The sequence below is a fragment of the Homo sapiens genome, chromosome 1, assembly GCF_000001405.40.
Source record: "Homo sapiens chromosome 1, GRCh38.p14 Primary Assembly".
NCBI lineage: Eukaryota > Metazoa > Chordata > Mammalia > Primates > Hominidae > Homo > Homo sapiens.
In genome coordinates this window covers 117,048,439-117,068,664 of record NC_000001.11, presented here as the reverse complement: position 1 = coordinate 117,068,664, position 20,226 = coordinate 117,048,439, and the positions used below count along the sequence as shown (strand labels likewise).

The following is a 20,226-nucleotide window of genomic DNA, read 5'->3' as shown; positions in this document are numbered from 1 at the left end:
ACACGAGGAGTTTTCTAGACATGTGAAGTTTCAAGGGTTATTAAAAGTAAAATATTTTGAACATCTACCACAACCAATTAATTTTTTTTTGGAGGTGAATATTTTTCTTTTTTTTTTTTTTATTACACTTTAAGTTCTAGGGTACATGTGCACAATGTGCAGGTTTGTTACACATGTATGCATGTGCCATGTTGGTGTGTTGCGCCCATTAACTCGTCATTTACATTAAGTATATCTCCTAATGCTATCCCTCCCCTCTCCCCCAACCCCACAACAGGCCCCAGTATGTGATGTTCCACGCCCTATGTCCAAGTGTTCTCATGGTTAAGCTCCCACCTATGAGTAAGAACATGCGGTGTTTGGTTTTCTGTCCTTGTGATAGTTTGCTCAGAAGGATACCACAACCAATTATTTAAAGAACTAAAACTTGTTATACCCACGTCTAAGCAAAGAAATATTTCCATTTATTTTGACCCTGTATCCTTGAGTGAAAGTTCTGTGAGAAACAGAGAGAAAGGAAAATATGAACTCAGGAGCTCAGTGACAATGCCCAAAATTTGTATACCAGGGTGTACCACATCGTTCATGTCAAGGCAAGATTTCTTCCCCCTGGTTCTACTGAGATTATCAGTTTTCTTTACTGCCTGTACACAGAGGGCCATGGCCGAATGGCTAGTCAAATGCTGGTCAGTGGTGCCATCTGGTGTTTCAGTTAGAGATCTGCACACAAATGCAGCTACACTGCAAGAGATGAAAAATGGGCATCTTCGCCTCAGTTTACACCTCCCTTCTATTACTCTGTTGCACCTGTCTCCTGACTACATTCAGCCAAACATAATAGTATTAATTAGAGGATGTAAAATATTTAAGTTATTAAAAAGAAAACCCAGAGTATGTGAGGGAAAGGCTGTACTCTCATAGGTCACTCTCCAGGGGTTCTGGCTGAACACCCTTAATGTTCACTAAGGAAGCCATCATCCATATATAGACTTATCTATTTCTGTTTAAATTCCCAGTCTATGCTACCTATCAGAGTACCTGGTTTTCTGTTGTTATTGTTTTTTAATGTGTTGTGTGTTAAGAACTGCCTTTTACTTTTATTTGTCCTAAGACAACTTTTTTTTTTTTTTTTTTTTTTTTGAGACTGAGTCTTGCTCTGTCATCCAGGTTGGAGTGTAATGATGTGATCTTGGCTCACTGCAACCTCCGCTTCCCCGGCTCAAAGTGATTCTCCTGCCTACTGAGTAGCTGGGATTACAGGCACACGCCACCATGCCCGGCTATTTTTTGTATTTTTAGTAGAGAGAGTTTCACCATGATGGCCAGGCTGGTCTTGAACTCCTGGCCTCAAGTGATCCGCCGGCCTTGGCCTCCCAAAATGCTGAGATTACAGGTGTGAACCACCATGCCTGGCCCTAAGACAAGCTTTTTAAAGCTCCAGTAAGTACTTCCTAGTAATAGTGCTCTGAATTTAGGCTAAGAGAAATACATGTAACATACTTTTTTGTTCTATTTTAAAATAATAAACCCTTCTCAGTCTTATCCATCTAGTACAAAGAACGTTAACAGCAAGTTCTCAAAATTCTGACCTCAGTCAGGCCTTTCTTCAGAGCTGCACACTCATTTTTCTAGCTGGTTTCACATGAAAATAAGACACAATTTGGCCAGGTGAGGTGGCTCATGCCTGTAATCCCAGTACTCTGGGAGGCTGAGGCAGGCAGACCACTTGAGGCTAGGAGTTTGAGACCAGCCTGGCCAACATGGCAAAAGCCCATGTCTACTAAAAATACAAAAATTAGCTGGGCGTCGTGACACACACCTGTAATCCCAGCTACTCGGGAGGCTGAGACACGAGAATCACCTGAACCTGGGAGGCAGAGGTCGCAGTGAGCTGAGATTGTGCCACTGTACTCCAGCCTGGTTGACAGAGCAAGACTCTGTCTTTTAAAAAAAAAAAAAAAAAAAAAAAGACATGATTAGTCCAAAGCTGTATGTGTTTGCCACACATCCCAATACTCGACCAACATTACCTTTCTTCCTTGTCCTGCTTAACGTAAACACATTACCCAGAAGCCCCACCTTAGCAACCGTTTCCCTACTGAGCACTGACAATGTGCCAAACACCAGACCGAGGCCATCACACACGTTCTCTCTCCAAGTCCTCCAACCCAGGGAAGTTAGGGCCATGTGAGCAATATTCCAGATGAAAAAATGGAGGAAGGAACACGTTTATATGCCCTACCAGGAAATACATCTCATCAGTGCTCTTTCAGCAAGTTTTCATTCTACTTGGACCCAATTCCACTGCTGCTACTTCAATTCAGGCCCATCACCTCTCACTTAAGAGAAAGTTGGTGTGTCTGGAATCAGTTGGACCTGGGTTTAAATCCCAGCAATGCCACTTCATAACCATGGGTCCTCAGATTCCCTTTCTGACCTGTTTCAATGGTAGTTTCTCCATCTTTCTGGTAAACACGGATATTGAAATCTATCACAACAAATTATATGAAGGTAAAAGATAATGAACAGGCTGGGTGCAGTGGCCCACACCTGTAATCCCAGTACTTTGGGAGGCTGAGGTAGGAGGATTGCTTGAGCCCAGGAGATTGAGACCAGGCTGGGTAATACAGTGAGACCGTGTCTCTACAAAAAAAAAAAAAAAAAAAAAAAAAAAAAGGTATATAGTGGGCTTTCAATGGTAGCTATTATTTCAGTGGTCTCTTTGCCCTATTTTCACTTTCTAATCTGTCCTCCATAGTTCTTCTTTTAATGCAAATTGGGTCAAAAATCCTTCAGTGGCTTCCTAACAACTACCACAGTATGTCTGTATGGTAAAGGTCCTCCAGTAGTATGTAAATGGTTTTAAGTATCAGTAGAATATAACTTCATGCAATAAAGGCTTACCAGCCCTACTATACCAGCAGAAAACAATCCAAAAACAAAATTAAAAAAAATTCCATTTACAACAGCACTAAAAAACACAAACACTGAGAAATAAATTTAACAAAAGATGCATAGGAACTCTGTAATGAAAAGTATTAAACAATGCTCAGAGACATTTTTTTTTTGAGACAGAGTCTCGCTCTGTCACCCAAGCTGGAGTGCGGTGGCGCGATCCCGGCTCACTGTAAGCTCTGCCTCCGGGTTCACGCCATTCTCCTGCCTCAGCCTCCTGAGTAGCTGGGACTACAGGCGCCTTCCACCATGCCCGGCTAATTTTTAGTATTTTTAGTAGAGATGGGGTTTCACCTTGTTAGCCATGATGGTCTCGATCTCCTGACCTCGTGATCCGCCCGCCTTGGCCTCCCAAAGTGCTAGGATTGCCGCGCCCAGCTGACATTTTTAAAGTCATAAATAAATGCACTACATTCATGGATTGGAAGCCTCAATATTGACAATTCTCTCCAAATTGATCTATATAGATTCAATGCAATCCCAACAGGGTTTTCTGTGGAAATTTTTAAAAGCTGATTCTACATTTTATATGGAAATGCAAAGATCCTAGAGCAGCCAACGCAATCTTGAAAAAGAATAAAGTCAGAAGACTCACACTATTTTATCTGATTAATTATGTAAAGATAGGCAAATGGATCAATGGAACAGATTAGCAACCCCAGAAATAGACTTACATATATTGGATCAATTGAATTTTTACAAAGACGCCAAGCATTTCAATGGGAAAAGGAAAATCTTCAAAACATGATGCTAAAACAATTGGTAACATATGCAAAAATAAATGAACCTCTACCCTACCTGATATACTACACAAAAGTAATTTAAGATATAGATAATAGACCTATATGAAAAAGCTACTAAAAAAAAAAAGAAGAAGAAAAAAAAAAAACAGGCCAGGTGCAGTAGCTCACACCTGTAATCCTAGCACCTTGGGAGGCCAAGATGTGTAGATTGCCTGAGCTCAGGAGTTCGGGACCAGCCTGGGCAACATGGTGAAACTCCGTTTCTACTAAAATACAAAAAAATTATTGGTGCACACCTGTAGTCCCAGCTACTTGGGACTACTTGGGAGGCTGAGGCATAAGAATTGCTTGAACCCAGGAGATGGTGGTTGCAGTGAGCCAAGATTGTACCACGGCACTCCAGCCTGGAAGACAGAGTGAAACTCTCTCTCTCAAAAACAAACAAACAAACAAACAAAAATAAAACTATAAAGCTTCTAGACAATTCTTGGAAATATTTGTGATATTGGGGTAGGCAAAGATTTCTTGGAGATCAGACAAAAAGCACAAACCATACAAAAATGATGAGCCTCCCGAGTAGCTGAGACTTCAGGAGTGTGCCACCAGGCCCAGCTAATTTTTTTTTGTTTTTTCACTTTTTTTTATTTAGTAGAGATGGGGTTTCACCATGTTGGTTGGCCAGGCTGGTCTCAAACTCCTAATCTCAAGTGATCTGCCCACTTCAGCCTCCCAAAGTGCTGGGATTACAGGCATGAGCCACCATGCCTGGCCTAACTTGTATAGAGAATTTACAAAGAACTCTACCAACTCAGTTTTAAAAAAAGACAAAAATTTTAAAACAGGCAAAGATCTCCAAAGTTATACTTTATGATTCCACTTATGTAACAATTGTGCAATGACAAAATTTTAGAAATGAAAAGCAAATTCCTGATTGCCGGAGTGAAGAGGGCAGAAGGGAGGGAAGGGGGTATGGTTATAGAAAGGGCAACAGAGAGATCCTGTGATGGAACTCTTCAGTACCTTGACTGTAGTGGTAGATACATGACTCGACAGGATAAAATTGTATAGAATATACACACACACATAAATTAGTTCAAGTAAAACTACCTTTACCAATAAAACTGGTGGGTTGTACCAATATTAATATCCTGTTTGTGATATATTTCTAAGCCTTGCAAACGTTACCATTGGGGGAAACTGGATAAAGTCTACAGGGGATAACTCTGTATTATTCCTTACAACTGTATGTGAATCTAAAACTACTTGATAAAAATTTCAATGCAAAAAAAAGGATAAAATATTTAAACAGATAACGTCGAGATTTTCTGATGGCAAATAGGCACACCAAACAAAGTGGTGCATTTATAAATGAAATTCAACTCCACAATAAAAATGAATGAATTACTGATACATATTATATACATTTCACATACTGTTAAGTAAAAGAAGTCAGACACAGAAGAGTACATGCAGTAGGATTTCATTTATATAACGTTCAAGAACAATCAAAACACATCTAAAGAGATAAAAATCAGAACAGTGATTGCTGACAGGGGTGGAGATGGGAGGGGTGAAATTAACTTGAAGGGGACTGATGGCACTTATTGGGGTAATATTTTGACTCGGATCTTGGTTTTATGAGCAGGTACATGCATTCTCAAAACTCAACTGGTTGAAATCTTAAGACTTGTGTATCTTACTATACATATAACTAAATTAAGAAAAATAGAAGTATGAACAGTACTCAGGTATATAAAAATTGTAGGTGGTACTCAAATGCCTTTAATTGGGTGGGGGGATCTAGAATATATAAATTATGAAGTGCATAGAATATCACACAAAGACCATCTATCACATCCTGACCCCTACCTTCCTGGCCAGCCTTATCGCCTAAAGTCTCTGTTTAAAGATATGTTAAACTATTAACAAATCAAATTTTCCCTGAAAATGCCATGTTAATTCATGCCTTAGTACTCTAATGCAATATATTAGTCCATTAAATATGACCTCTCTCTAACACTTAGGGAATTCCTACTTTATCTTTGAATACTCGTGACAAATATCTCCCAGCTCTATAGACTTCTCTGCCCTTCCCAAATTCCCATATAAAGGAAAAGAAACTAACATTTATTGAGGACTAAATATGTTTAGCCATTTTTACTCACTACCTTGTTCTATTACCAGAATTAGAAGATTGACAAGTTAAGGGCAAGTTAGTGGCCAATGGTCAGCTGTCATTATAGGCTACCTGACAGTTGGAGAGGGATGATTGTGGAGCCATTTACGTGAAAATTACTAGAAATCAGACTTCTCAGATTAACTAGCTGCTTGGTATTTAGGTAGTGACAGCCAAAAGACACTTAATACATATACAAATTTTGTTTTTTAAAATGACTTTTAAAGAACAATCCTAATACATACCTGGCTACAACTCTTTCAGGGAGAAAAAAAAAAAAAAGCAAATACACTTAGATGTTCCTTTTGGACCCTTACCTGTATTCTTTCTTGTCCTGTGGCAGAAGCAAACCCTGAAGCTCTACCACAAAGTCCTCATGCAATAAGCAATGGGAAACAGGAATGCTAGAGAAAAGAAAAAAGTTGAAAACATTTTTAGGTCAGGAACAGAGATCAATATCCTAAAGTCAAATCAAAACTATGGGTTTTTACACCAAGAATCTATGTATAACCTCTACTGGGTTTGTAATTCCCACACATTATCACAGCTATGGGCATTCCTTTGGGGAAGAAGTCCCTAGCTTTCATCTTTACCCACTTTCTCAAATAAAGCATAACTGTTTCTTGATGACTCAAAAGTTTAAAACCACACTGCACTGTGTAATCTCTACACTGGGATCCCCCTACGAATGACATAATTAGGGCTGGCTGTGAGGCCCTGTATGAATTTTCCCCAGGCTCTTCCCTTCATCCTTTCCCTCTAACAAGCTGAGAGCTGTCACTTAGTGTTATTCACACGCCTACCTCTAACAATACGCCCTATATGCTTCTTGTTTTGTGTAAGTTTTTAATCACTCCCTTCCAACTTATTATGAAAAAATTTAAATATATATAACATTTGAGAGTAAACAGGTTTGAGTGAAGGTTTAAAGTACTCTCCTAAACCTGTGGCACTTTTTTTGGCCTGTATATTGGTTATCAGATATAGTCCAAATAAATCAAGTTTATCAAATAATTGTCTTCAAATACCACTGTGCTAGTTTGTATAGCAAAGCATTTGTGTAGATGGGATCCTAAATAAGAGTGTTTCTCTTAATGTAAAACCAAATCTTATGCCACCATTAATGTTGAATTCCTGCAAAGGTAAAAATGCTTCTATCTCACAAAACTTGACCTGGGTACTATATCTGAGAGGCTCAGTGTAAATCATCTAACTCATGAAACAGAAACATGGGAAGTTAGTATACATGTTGAAAGGGCACTTTTCTAATACTGATATCCATTATGTACTCTACATCTGACACGGAGAAAAATAACTTTTCTCTACCAAGTTTTGCTGAATAGAGAGCAGGAGATGTTTAATGATGTGATGATAGTTTTAAAATTCACATAGAAAATGTAGACACTTGGTACTGTGAAAACATTAACACTTGACAAACTATTAACTTTCCTCACTTTAGAGAAGATGCTTAACATTTCTGACTCTCTCCTCCCACCTCAGCCTCACGAGTAGCTGGGACTACAGGCGTGTGATACCATGCCTAGACAATTTTTTTTAATTTTTCGTAGAGACGGGATTTCACCATGTTGCCCAGGCTGGTTTCGAACCCCTGGGCTCAAGCGATTCGCTCGCCTTCGCCTCCCAAAGTGCTGGGATTACAGGCGTCACACACCGCGCCAGGCCCTCCGTTGTTTCTTCCAGCGCTAATTTCTTTGAATTATCAATTTCACCATTTAGATGCAGAGAATCCTACTTAAAAATAAGAAGGCTAACAACTAATCACTAGAGTGTTTTAAGCTCAAACATTTAAAAAAAACCGTCGGGCCTAAAACTAGTGCAAAACAGGGACAAATTATTTTCCACTATGTCTGCTGTGTGTCCTTACTCCTTTAAAGGGGGAGGGACTGTCTGGGCAGGAGAAGGGAGTGGTTAAGGCCTGTCAAGTGAATAGAAACCCAGAGCTGGAAAACACCGGATCCTCAATTTTACAGGTAGGGGAACCATCGGCCCAGAGAGGGGGGTAACCAGCCTCGGGTCACACAGCCAGAATTAGCTGGGCGTCTTCCGAACACGCCACGCTGCCCTGGGATCACCAATTGCTTAAAGGGTCCTGACACCGCAAACTAGGGCCCCACCACTCCTCGGCCCTGTGACGCCCGACAGCGGGGAGCGGGAAGCTCCTCTCGGGAGGCCCCGGGCAGCCACAGGGAGTGGGGCCCAGCTCCAGACCTACTCGGTGGCCCGCACGAAGCTGCACGTGTCTGCCCGGCACACGTAGAAGCTCTTTCCTTTATTCGGGCCATCGCGGACGCCGGTCTTAAGAAAGCAGAAAGTCCCTGAAGAGAGAAGAAAGTGAACAACGATTACGCCACGCTAAATCAACAGGCCCCGGGACGCTGAGACCCTAGCCCCTTACCGTGCTCTGGACACCTAACTTCTTCCATTTCGCTGGGTCCCCCAAGTTCCACAAAGCCCCGCCCCCAATTCTGCTTCCGCCTTTTACTCCGCCCTCTTTGTTCAGGAACCAACCATCACTCAGCTCTTGCAGTCTTAATCCCTCCCATAATTCTCCGCCCTTGGCCTTCACCCGTCCTAGCCGCTATCAGCCAATCATATAGGAACTTCGCTCACCTCCAACCAATCACAGCTGCCCTCAGGTATGGCGCGCGCCGAAATCAAATACGGAGCCAGGGGGCGTAAAGGACCCGGCTTTTGCAGGCTGGGGCGTGGCTGAGGCTGGGGAGAAGCTTAGAAGGTGGCGGGGCTTCTGGAGGAAAAGAAGCTTCGATTTGCAGGTCTTGGAAGACGGAAGGGCAACTCTTGTTTACGTTTAAAACCGAGAGGCGGCCCTAGGGGTAGCGCCAGTTAGCAGGCGCTGAAAGGCCCTGGCTTCGTGGGTGTCTCTGAGCCAGGCTGGCGCTCGTGCGCGCTGGGCTCCGCGCTCAGTCGCTGGGGTGGGAGGCCAGGGGAAGCCGCCGCTGCAGGCCGAGCCGCGAGATTTGCAGTGCAGGAGCCGAAGCGGCGGGCATGGTGGGAGGTCCTTGGAAGCTGCTGCGGGGAACTGAAACGGCTCTGATAGGCAGGCACAAAGACTTCTCTAGGACCCCCTACAATGCTTTACGTTTGCCTCGTGCTTTAGATTTCACAAAGTGCTTACACATAACACGACCCTCCTCACTCGACCTGGTGAGATGGGTAGCATTTTGTGGAAGATTCCGAGACTCAAGTTTGAGAGACTCACCCAAGGTCAGAGTTGGCGAGTGGGCGGTCCGTGGACAGGTGCGCAGGTCTCAGCGCCATTTGGCCCGCGCTGCTGCTTCCTGTGTGTACTGGATGTTCTCTAGGCTCGCCCAGCGTGGAAGCCCCGAGTTACCAGCCGCAACGTGGAAACCACAGAAGGGGAAATAGATGACTTTTGGTGAAGGCGAATTTTACTTTATCATTTTGTATTGTCAAACTTTTTTTTACTATTATGCTTTTGTAATTTTAAAAATCGAAGACGAGGTTAAATAGAAGAAAGGGGACAGTTCCCTTCTATTTAACTTCATCCTCGATTTTTAAAATTTGAAGTTGTAATCAAAACTATTAGTAAACAGAGAGGAATAGATATTAGATTTATTGCAATAGAAATAGTTTCATATTGCAGCTATTGAGGACCATATGTCCCAGACATATGGTGTGGCACCTGCACTGTTCTTATGGGGGCCGTAGAACAGAAAATCTGTAATGTCTAGGAAATCTGGGCGATGTGATAAATGTACATGTTATGGGGATCCGGAGGAAGGGAGACAAACCTGAGGTATCATTTATTAATTAAACAGTACTTACTAAATAGCTTTTTTGTGCCCGTTGTGGACTAGGTGCTTGAGAAATGTAAAATTCATTCATTCACACACACAAAGTTTGAAACAACTATTCTAAGCACAAGGAACTTACTCAGTATTTTGAGGAGACTGAACTAGTACATGTTGAACACTTAAATAACAATATAAAATAGTATTTAAATGTCAAAATGAATGGAGTTAGCAGTAACTCTCTAGGACTAGAGAAAAATGGAATTTCCAAAGTGAAGTTCCTTTATACATAACTACCCTTCCGAAACTTAGATGAACTTAGAGATAAGACAGGAACAACAAATAGGTAGAAGCATTTTCATTATTCCAAGATTGTTATTCTTGCAAATGATGTATTTGTACATGTTTAATAGATGCTGTATTGGAGGTAGTATACCATGAATACAGGATTTGCAGAAAGAGGGGCATGGTAATTAATTATTTCTTGAATAATTTTCGAAACAAGGCAAAATCGGGGCCTCTTAAATATCCCGTTAAGGAAGAAGCTCCTCCTCTGCAAGTACCCAAGTCGGTATCTCCAGTCCAACCTCACAAAAGTGTGCACAGCCAAATCACAGACAGGAGGAATATTTCTTCCATAAATTAAAAATATACTAGATCAAAATGTTAAGTCCCTGGACAACTTATTCCACCTCATCATATTTACAAGATTGAAAAAAATAAGTTTGAGATTGGACGAAAGATGGTCATAACTGGAAACATTTTTAAAATTAATTTTTATGCCCGTTGAGTATGGTGGTGGGCACCTGCGGTCCTAGCTACTCAGGAGGCTGAGGTGGGAGGATGGCTTGAGCCCACAAGTTTGAGGCTACAGTGAGCTGTGATTGTGCCACTGCACTCTAGCCTTGGTGACAGAGTGAAACTTTGTCTCTTAAAAAAAAACTTATGCCTATTGAAATAAATAATAATGAATTATACAACATACACTTTTCAAAATATACACATGTATTGGTGTATGTGTATTAATTTTTATTCTTAATTTATATTTTAAATTTATATTGTTAATTAGCCTACAGACCCCCGGAGAGACCTTGGGAGAATGTGCTTTATGGATCTCTATTTTGAGTAAAGTTTAGAGTTTGTTTTTCCTTAAAGCTTGATTTATTCAAAATAATGTCTAGGCTGGGTCCTAGATTTAGATGGCTTAAAATGCACAGGTTAATTATCCAATAAATTTGTTCAGTATGGAGCTGGTCAAATGCAAAGTATATGTTGGAATTGTTCTAAAACTGGATTGTGGTAATGGGTGCACAATTGATTAAATTTACTAGACTCTTTGAATTGTACACTTTAAATAGGTGAATTCTATGACATCTAAATTATACCTTAATAAGGCTGTTTTAAAAACTAAGCAATGCCAAAATACCTATCTGCTGCATTGAAAGTAATAACTAAAATTGGTCATCTAGATATGTTGACATCCTTAAGGAAACATCCTAATGGGTGAAGAAATAAAGTGGTAGTAGAAACCCTTCGGTTACAGAAGCAGACTGGTTCTTTGACCTGTGAAATATTGAATAAAATCCAGGGTAGGCCAGACAAGGTGGCTCATGCCTGTAATCCCAGCAGTTTGGGAGGCTGAGGTGGGTGGATCACTTGAATCCAGGAGTTTGGGACCAGCCTGGGCAACATGGTGAAACTCCATCTATACAAAAAATAAAAAAATTATCCAGGCTTGGTGGAGCATGCCTGTGGTCCCAGCTACTTGGGAGGCTGAGTTGGGAGGATCACCTGAGCCCAAGGAGGTCGAGGCTTCTGTGAGCCATGATTGAACCACTGTGCTTCTGCCTGGATGACAGAGTGAGCCCCTGTCTCAAAAATAAAATATAATTCTGGGGTAGCACAGACACTCATTTTATTTTTATTTATTTTTCTTTTCTTTTTTGAGATAGTGTCGTGCTTTGTCACCCAGACTGGAGTACGGTGGTGTAATCATAGCTCACTCTAGCCTCAACCTTTCAAGCTCAAGCAATCCTCCCACCTCAGCCTCTGGAGTAGCTGGGACCACAGGTTTGTGCCACCACACCTAACTAATTTTTTGATTTTTTTTTTTTTTTTTTTTTTTTTTGTAGAGAGGAGGTCTTGCTGTGTTTCCCAGGCTGGTCTCAAACTACTAGGCCCAAGCAGTCTTCCTGCCTCAGCCTCCCAAAGTGCTGAAATTACAGGTGTGAGCCAACACACCCAGGAACAAGTCCAACCCCACAAAAGTGGAGCTTAATTCCTAGGAAAATGAAAGAATTATACTTTCTGTGGTCAGCATTGTGCTGGCTGGCATACATTAAACATGTCAGACCTCCATAAGATACCAGTGGTGAGAGGATGAGCTAGAACATTCACCTTTTGACATCTCGGTCACTACCTTATTGTTTTAAAATAATCAGCAATTCCAAGTTTCAAGTGATTTGTAAAATTCTAGCGGCTATGCTTTATTGATTATTTTTTAAATTAAATTGTTCAAATTTATGTTTCAAATGAGCAGATCATTCTAAGAATCATATTTACTTTTCTGAACTTCTGGTGTTTTTGCTTGTTGCTTTGGGATAGGATGGGAAGGAGTAATTTTAATTGGCAGATAAAAGATTGTTCCCTATTAGGCACATTCTGAGAGGGAAAGTCATATTCTAACTTTTCCTGAGGTGTGTTCTGAGATAGTACTTTTATATGCATTGTCACATTTAATTGTCACAACTAGCCTAGGGATGGGATTTTTTATCCCCATTTTTAAGATGAAGATACTAAAGTTTAGAGCAGTTAAGGAGGTGGCCCCAAGGCCAACTTACCTTACAGAGCTGCTCCTAAAACTTTGGAACCGGATAGTCCCCATGGATTAATTTTGACCTGGCTCAAAGTCACAAAGCTGACAGCAGCCAATCAGGGACTAAAGGCCATTTTTCAGAACTTTCAATCCAGTTCTTGCCACTATAGTATTTTTTCTTCTTCTTCTTCTTCTTTTTTTTTTTGAGACGGAGTCTCGCTCTGTCGCCCAGGCTGGAGTGCAGTGGCGTGATCTCGGCTCACTGCAACCTCCACTTCCCAGGTTTAAGCAATTCTCCTGCCTCAGCCTCCCAAGTAGCTGGGATTACAGGCACCCACCACCACGCCCAGCAATTTTGTGTATTTTTAGTAGAGATGGGGTTTCGCCATGTTGGCCAGGCTGGTCTCGAACTCCTGAGACCTCAGGTGATCCACCTGCCTCGGCCTCCCAAAGTGCTGGGATTACAGGCCTGAGCCACTGCGCCCAGCCTATAGTATTTTTATAAAGCATAAATTATTCAGCAATGCATTCAGATATTTAACCCACACATCGGTAAGTGTTTAGGTATTTGCTGTGGTGTAGAGACATGGCTCAACAAATCCAAGACAAAAACCAAAAACCCAAGTCCTGCCATTTTATAAATGACCACTAGGTAGCAGCCTAGTAACATAAAAACCAAACTGAGGCCCACCCTCCTCTGTTTCATTCTTTTTGTTTGAAGATATATAATGGTAATTCAATTTCATTTCATTTCATTTTGTGCCTTTCAAACATATGACTGTTTTCAACTTGTCCTTTGACATAGGCTCGATCAGGATGATACTATAGTGAGAACAAATGTGGTTATAATTTGTAAAGCCAAGAGACTTTACAAATTATTTTGTTATACCAATATTTTTTCAGTACTAGATTCCAAATTTCACTGTTCTTAAAATATTATTCCAAAAGTGGTTCAATGCAGGCTCTTTATCTTCTTCTTTTTTTTTTTTTTTTTTTTTGGTAAATGTACAGGTATTTTTTTCAGTTGGAGTCTTGTCTGTTACCCAGGCTGGAGTGGAGTGCAATGGTAGGATCTTGGCTCACTGCAACCTCCGCCTCCTGGGTTCAAGTGATTCTCCTGCCTCAGCCTCCTGAGTAGCTGGGATTATAGGCTTGTGCCACCACGCTCAGCTAATTTTTGTATTTTTAGTAGAGATGGGGTTTCACCATGTTGTCCAGGCTGGTCTTGAACTCCTGAACTCAGGTGATCCACTCGCCTCGACCCCCCAAAGTGCTGGGATTACAGGCTTGAGCCATCGCGCCCGGCCACAATTCTTTTTTTTTTTTTTTTGAGACAGAGTCTCACTCTGTTGCCAGGCTGGAGTACAGTGGCATGATCTTGGCTCACTGTAACCTCTGCCTCCTGGGTTCAAGTGACTCTCCTGCCTCAGCCTCCCGAGTAGCTGGGATTACAGGTGCCCGCCACCACGCCTGGCCAATTTTTGTATTTTTAGTAGAGATGGGGTTTCACCCTGTTGGCCAGGCTGGTCTCGAACTCCTGAACTCAGGTGATCCACCCGCCTCGGCCTCCCAAAGTGCTGGGATTACAGGCATGAGCCATCACACCTGGCCCACAATTCATTGTTTAAGTAAATTTATAAAGTTGTGCCATCACCACCAGAATCCAGTTTTAAAACATTTCTATCACTCAAAAACTTTCCTCAAAGCTGTGTGCAGTCAATCCCAACTGCCACCCCCAGCTAGTCCCAAGGCAACCTCTGATATGCTTTCTGTCTTTATAAGTTTGCCTTTTCTGGACATTTCATATAATGGAGTCATGTAATATGTAGTCTCTTGCCTCTGTCTTCTTTCACTTACATAATGCTTGTGAGGTTTACCCATGTTGCACATGTATCAGTATTTCACTCCTTTTTATTGCTGAGTAATATTCCATTGTGTTCATTCACCAGTTGGTGGACATTTGGATCATTTTCCCTTTGGAATTATTAGGAATAATATTGCTATGAACATTAATGTTAAAGTCTGTTTTATTGTTTTTGTTTTTGTTTTTTTGTTTTTTGTTGTTGTTGTTTTTGAGATGGAGTCTTGCTCTGTCACCCAAGCTGGAGTGCAGTGGCATGATCTTGGCTCACTGCAACCTCCAGCTCCCAGGTTCAAGCAATTCTCCTGCCTCAGCCTCCCGAGTAGCTGGGATTATAGGCTCGAGCCACCACGTAAGCTAATTTTTATATTTTTAGTAGGGACAGGGTTTCACCATGTTGGCCAAGCTGGTCTCAAACTCCTGACCTCAGGTAATCTATCTGCCTCAGCCTCCCTAAGTACTGGGATTACAGGCATGAGCCACCGCACCCGGCCTAACGTTAAAGTCTTTATATGAACATTTGTTCTCATTTCTCTTGGGCAGATAAACCTGTGAGTGGAATTGCTAGTTCATATGGTTAGTTTGTTTAACTTTTTAAGAAATTGCCAAACCACTTTCCAAAGTGGCTATACCATTTTATATTTCCACCAGCAACGTATGAGGGTTCCCAGTTCTTCATGTCCTCAACAATGCTTGTTATTGCGTGCCTTTTTTAGTAGGTATGAAGTGGTATCTGACTTTTGTTTGAATTTTGATTTTTCTATTGATGTGGCACTCTTTTTCGTGTGCTTTTTAGCCATCATCTTCCTCTTTTTAAATGGTCTTGAAAGTCTTTTTCCTTTAACGTTTGTATGGAACTTAAACCTAAGTTAAAATGACATTAATTGTTATTAATACAAAGACATAAAAAGACATAGTAATCATTTGTATAATGTTAAGTAACAAACATTATACAATGTACTATGTACTATGAGTATAGTCATGTCAATTTGTTTTTTTTTTTTTTTTTGGAGACAGGGTCTCACTCAGCCCCTCAGGCTGGAAGTGGTGCAGTCTCAGCTCACTGCAGCCTTGTTCTCCCAGGCTCCAGTGATCTTCCCATTCCAGCCTCCCGAGTAACTGGGACTACCAGAGCACACCACCACAGCTGGCTAATTTTTGTATTTTTTGTAGAGACAGGGTTTCACCATGTTGCCCAGGCTGGTCTCAAACTCCTGAGCTCAAGCAGTCTGCCGCGTTGGCCTCCCAAAGGGCTGGGATCATGTGTACACCATCACACCTGGCATCAAAACTATTAACTTTCAAGACTATATGCTGTATGATTCCATTTATATACCTCTGGGAGGTTGGGTTGGGAGATTGGTGCAGTTTTTATTTTCTACAACTAGCATGTATTGCTCTGTTACGATTTTTAAAATCCAATAAAGATATTGAAAGCAGTCACATAGAAAACAATAACAAAGAGGATGTACCAAAATAATAATAACAATGCTTATTTAAGATGGTAGGATTATTGGTGTTTTTTTCTTTTTTTCTCCCATTGTTTTATATGGCATATAATGTTATTATACTGTCAGCAGTAGAGCAGTCATAGGCCCCACGTCTCTGTACCTTCATCAGAACACCTCTTAAACTTGCCTAGTTCTCATCTTAGCTATTCAATCCTAACTTTCCTCTAATTAATCCTTTCTTTCTTATTCATGTCCTCCTACCCATTTTTTTGGTATCTAATTCAAGTTTTATACCAAGCTGTTTTTTCCCTCTTCCCCCTAACCCTATACCAGTTATTCTGCTTAATTCTAACCTTCTCCTCAACCCTCACTGCTCATTTGTTCCCTAAAACCTTCGCTGCTTTACACATTCAAGATAACCTAGAACCTGAAGACCTCCAGTGGCTATGTACTTGTTTTCTGGTGGCCATCCTGAGTTGTATTTCTTTTTTTTTTCCTTGTTTTTTGAGACAGAGTCTCACTCTGTCGCCCAGGCTGGAGTGCAGTGACATGATCTCGGTTCACTACAATCTTCGCCTCCCGGGCTCAAGCAGTTCTCCTGCCTCAGCCTCCCGAGTAGCTGAGATTACAGGCGCATGCCACTATGCCCAGCTAATTTTTGTATTTTTAGTAGAGACGGGGCTTCAACATGTTAGCTAGGTTGGTCTCGAACTCCTGGCCTCAAGTGATTGCCCACCTTGGCCTCCCAGCGTGTTGGGACTACAGGCGTGAGCCACTGCACCCGGCCTCTTGTTTGTTTTGTTTTCTGTTTTCTTTTTGTTTCTGAGTTGCATTTTTTCTGGAAAGCAACAAATGGCACTAAGGTGGATTCCAGGTTCTCAAGCTGAGCGTAAACAATACTACCCAATGCTCTGAAGACTTTTGCCATGAAGTTTTTAAGCCTCCTTGGATGCTGGGATCTTAGTAGCTGAGAAAACTCTGGCAGAGTTCTTCCTGGTTCTCCCTCCTTTTCCTTTCTGAGTTAACCTGGGAGCCAGAGCAGAGCAGCCTCTGGTTTTTGCTGCTATTTTTTAGTACTAAAATGGCCTTAAAGAACTCATCAACCTTTTAAAACATGAGTCAGGTTCTGTTACTTTGCCTATAACTCTTCAGTGACTTTCTGTTAAACTTAGAGAAAAAGGTTAAGTCATCCTTTTGGTTCCTACGGGCGCTGCACGGTTTGGCCCTTCCTGCTTTCACTCTCACAGACAGCCACGCCACTCCTCACCCATTATATTGCAGCCGCCCTAACCTGTTTTCTGTTCCTCAGTGTGCCAAGCTTTGTATTACCCTAAGGCCTGCATTCATATTGTGCTTTCTGCCTGGAATGCTTTCCTCAGTTCTTTAAAAACTTAGCCCTTCATCCTGTAGGTCTCAGCAAGCACCATCTCAGTGAGACTTGCCCTGACTACTTTATCTACAAAGGTTCTTCCTTGTTCTCTCTCAGTATCCGGTTTGCTTTCCACATAACATTTATTTCAGAGTTGTCTGTTGACTTGTTTATCGTCTGTCTTCTCCATGGACTATATGTGTAATTGCCAAGAAAGCAGGGACTTATTTCTGTTTGGCTCACTAATCACTGTATACACAGCATGTAAACATTCCATAAGTATCTGTTAAATGGAATGGATGAAATCATAGGGTAGAAGGAACCCTAAAGCCACCTAATGCATCCTCCCAAATCCCTTCCACAGCATCCCTAATGGATTCAGCATAGAAACTTCTGGTTATAGCAAGTTCTGTTTGGGTGTGTCGAAATGTTAGTTAATTCTAATGCATATTGAGCAGAAATCTTTCTGTCTGAAACTTCCACTTTCTTGTCATGTGGAATTAAACAAAATACACCTGATCCATTTTTACATCACTTTAAAATATATGAATATGACTATTTCATCCTCTCTGCACTTCACATGCATTCTCTTTGCCCAGAGAAACTTGTCCAACTGCATCAATTACTTTTCTCCCTCCGACACCCCCTCACCAGTATTTTGCTTTTTCTTTTTTGAGACAGAGTCTCACTCTTTTGCCCAGGCTGGAGTGCAGTGGCACGATCTCAGCTCACTGCAACCTCTGCCTCCTGGGTTCAAGCGATTCTCCTGCCTCAGCCTCCCGAGTAGCTGGAATTACAGGCACATGCCACCACACCTGGCTAATTTTTGTATTTTTAGTAGAGATGGGGTTTCGCCAGTATTTTTTGATGAATGTATGCTTAATTTGAGGCATCCCAAAGAAAATTCAATATGAAAAATGCCGTGGGATAATTATCTCCTTTATTTTGGATATGACCATTTTATATATGAAATGGAAAACTCTAAATCTTTTTCTCTGTTTTTTCAATAAGTATGTTATGCTAATAATATATATCAAGTGTGCAATCAACCAAAACACTGTTTTCATTTTTCATGCGTGAGCTCATCTCCCCTATCTGGTGCATCTAATTGCCTAAACTTAACTATGGATTCTATATTTCATGTTAATTTTGATTCATTATTCTAGGTTATCCAGATCTCTTTGAATCTTGTTCCTGTCAACTGACTTATTAGTGCCATCTCCTAATTCTGTGTCAACTTGACAAGCCTGCTGTCTTTCCCTTCATCCAAGTTGCCAATAAAAATGCTCAACAAGGCAGAGTGCTTTAGCAAGACCTGGAGAGATCTCCTACAGGTAAACACGTTGCCATGGTCTTTACACCTTGGGTATGATCATTCACCCAAGCATGGAGTCACATAGTGTCCACGTTGTTCCTCTTGTTCAAAGGCCTTGCTGCAGTTCATGCATGCGGAATCTATAGCTGTCCCATGACTTACCAGCCTAGCAGAAAGCAGCACATCAGAAAAGGAAGTGAGTTTAACTTGGCATGTCATTTTCTTTCTTTCTTTTCTTTTTTTTTTTTGAGACAGAATCTCGCTCTGTCACCCAGGCTGGAGTGCAATGGCACCATCTCGGCTCACTGCAACCTCTGCCTCCTGGGTTCAAGCGATTCTCCCGCCTCAGCCTCCTGAGTAGCTGGGATTACAAGCGTGCGTCACCACTCCCGGTCAATTTTTGTATTTTTAGTAGAGATGGGGTTTCACTGTGTTGGCCAGGCTGGTCTCGAACTCCTGACCTCAGGTGATTCGCCCGCCTCGGCCTCCCAAAGTGCTGGGATTACAGGCGTGAGCCACCGCGCCTAGCATGGCATGGCATTTTCTTGGTGAGCAGCACAGGAAGCAGCCCAGAGGCCTCAGTGGGGTGGCTCTTCAGAACAGAGGCCCTCGCCTCACACTAGGCTAGTGATTCAGTCACACCACCATCTCCTACGTCAATTTGTCTCACAACACTGTCATGTCTCACTTCTTATAGAATCTGTCGCCTCCTTTCTCTCCCTCTTGGTGCTCTCTCAAGGTTTACATGCATTTGGATGAAAGCTAGGAAGGTTCTAAGTTGTAAGTGAGGGATTTGCTGCGTCTCTCAAGGAGAAGAGGAAGTTACCTCTTTTGATGAAGATCCAAGGCATCCTCCACTGTCACGTGGTGCAGAAGCAGACATCCCCTTCAAAAGATCTAGCTCTTCCCAGCTCTTCTGTTCCTCTTTAGTACTTTCTCACCCTCCCTTGCAGACTGAACTTCCACCTAACTCTAAGCGGAAGCCCACACACCTGTTTCCACACACAGTAAGACAGGACTTCTCCTGTCTGCTGTACCACAGAGACAGGCCTTGCCTCAGTGTGGTGGGGCTTGCTGCCTCCCCTGGTGTCTGAAGGGTTTCTTCCTGCAAGCACTCAGCCTTCTTCCTTCTCTGGGTCAGCAGTTTCTTCGGGAGCTGCAAGCACTGCTGGCACGGTGGATCCGAGAGACCCACTTGAGCCTCAGAGCAGAGCTGGATGGGGCAGAAGCTGGTCAATTCTTTTTTCTCTGTAGTTTGTTGGCTTTTATTTCTGCCTTCTCACTCTTATGTGCTAATTGTCACTGTTTCTTCTCTCTGTTTCTCTTCTTCTCCTGCTTTCCCCACTATCCTCCCTGCTCGACCCTCCACATTTCTCCTTGAGTTCAGGGCAGACAGAAACAGCATTAATGATCAGCTGCAGAGGAGGAGGTGTCAAGGGTTTCTGTATTCCCACCCAGAGCTCTGCATGCATGTTTAAGCAATCCCTTTCCATCTTTACACTCTTTCATGATGACACTGTTTCTGACACTTCAGTGATCACCTATTTCTGATGGAAGAGCTGGAGCATTGCTAAGTGGCAGGTGGGGAAATTCTACTCAGTTCACTTGACTGGTTTTGCTCTTAAGTTGTAATCCTACCCAAGTGTACACATGCACAGTAAAAAATACCAAACCTGTAGCACTCAGATAACTTACTCCATCTGAACTATGTTAACAGACATGAAGAGTGCACACCTTGGATAGGTAC

At 42.0% G+C, this 20,226-nt stretch overlaps 1 protein-coding gene and 1 long non-coding RNA gene across 23 annotated transcripts in view, besides 3 other annotated features; one reads left to right on the top strand and one right to left on the bottom strand.

The window, feature by feature from the left end:
• The window catches only part of TTF2 (transcription termination factor 2), a 47,128-nt gene extending 38,789 nt beyond the window's left edge, over positions 1–8,339 (bottom strand). For all 22 annotated transcript variants that reach the window (XR_007064424.1, XR_007064425.1, XR_007064426.1 and 19 more), the window contains exons 1-3: positions 8,291–8,339; positions 8,108–8,210; positions 6,192–6,278 (exon numbers count right to left, since the gene is read on the bottom strand). Coding sequence is in view for 17 of the 22 variants with exons in the window: in XM_017002552.3 (XP_016858041.1) it covers positions 6,192–6,278; positions 8,108–8,210; positions 8,291–8,318 (218 nt within the window). In the remaining 5 variants the exon portion in view is untranslated. The remainder of the gene's footprint in view (positions 1–6,191; positions 6,279–8,107; positions 8,211–8,290) is intronic.
• Positions 8,639–8,798: an enhancer, noted in NCBI's record as "active region_1579". NCBI's record gives its function as "activates an Ori minimal core promoter by ATAC-STARR-seq in GM12878 lymphoblastoid cells {active_cell/tissue: GM12878}" and the evidence as "EXISTENCE:reporter gene assay evidence [ECO:0000049][PMID:35858748]".
• CD101-AS1 (CD101 antisense RNA 1) overlaps positions 9,175–20,226 on the top strand; it is a 34,009-nt gene continuing 22,957 nt past the window's right edge. Inside the window, exons 1-2 of the long non-coding RNA NR_110786.1 lie at positions 9,175–9,292; positions 18,331–18,498. This is a non-coding gene — a long non-coding RNA (CD101 antisense RNA 1). The remainder of the gene's footprint in view (positions 9,293–18,330; positions 18,499–20,226) is intronic.
• Positions 9,219–9,268: a silencer, noted in NCBI's record as "silent region_1236". NCBI's record gives its function as "represses an Ori minimal core promoter by ATAC-STARR-seq in GM12878 lymphoblastoid cells {active_cell/tissue: GM12878}" and the evidence as "EXISTENCE:reporter gene assay evidence [ECO:0000049][PMID:35858748]".
• Positions 16,591–16,680: an enhancer, noted in NCBI's record as "active region_1578". NCBI's record gives its function as "activates an Ori minimal core promoter by ATAC-STARR-seq in GM12878 lymphoblastoid cells {active_cell/tissue: GM12878}" and the evidence as "EXISTENCE:reporter gene assay evidence [ECO:0000049][PMID:35858748]".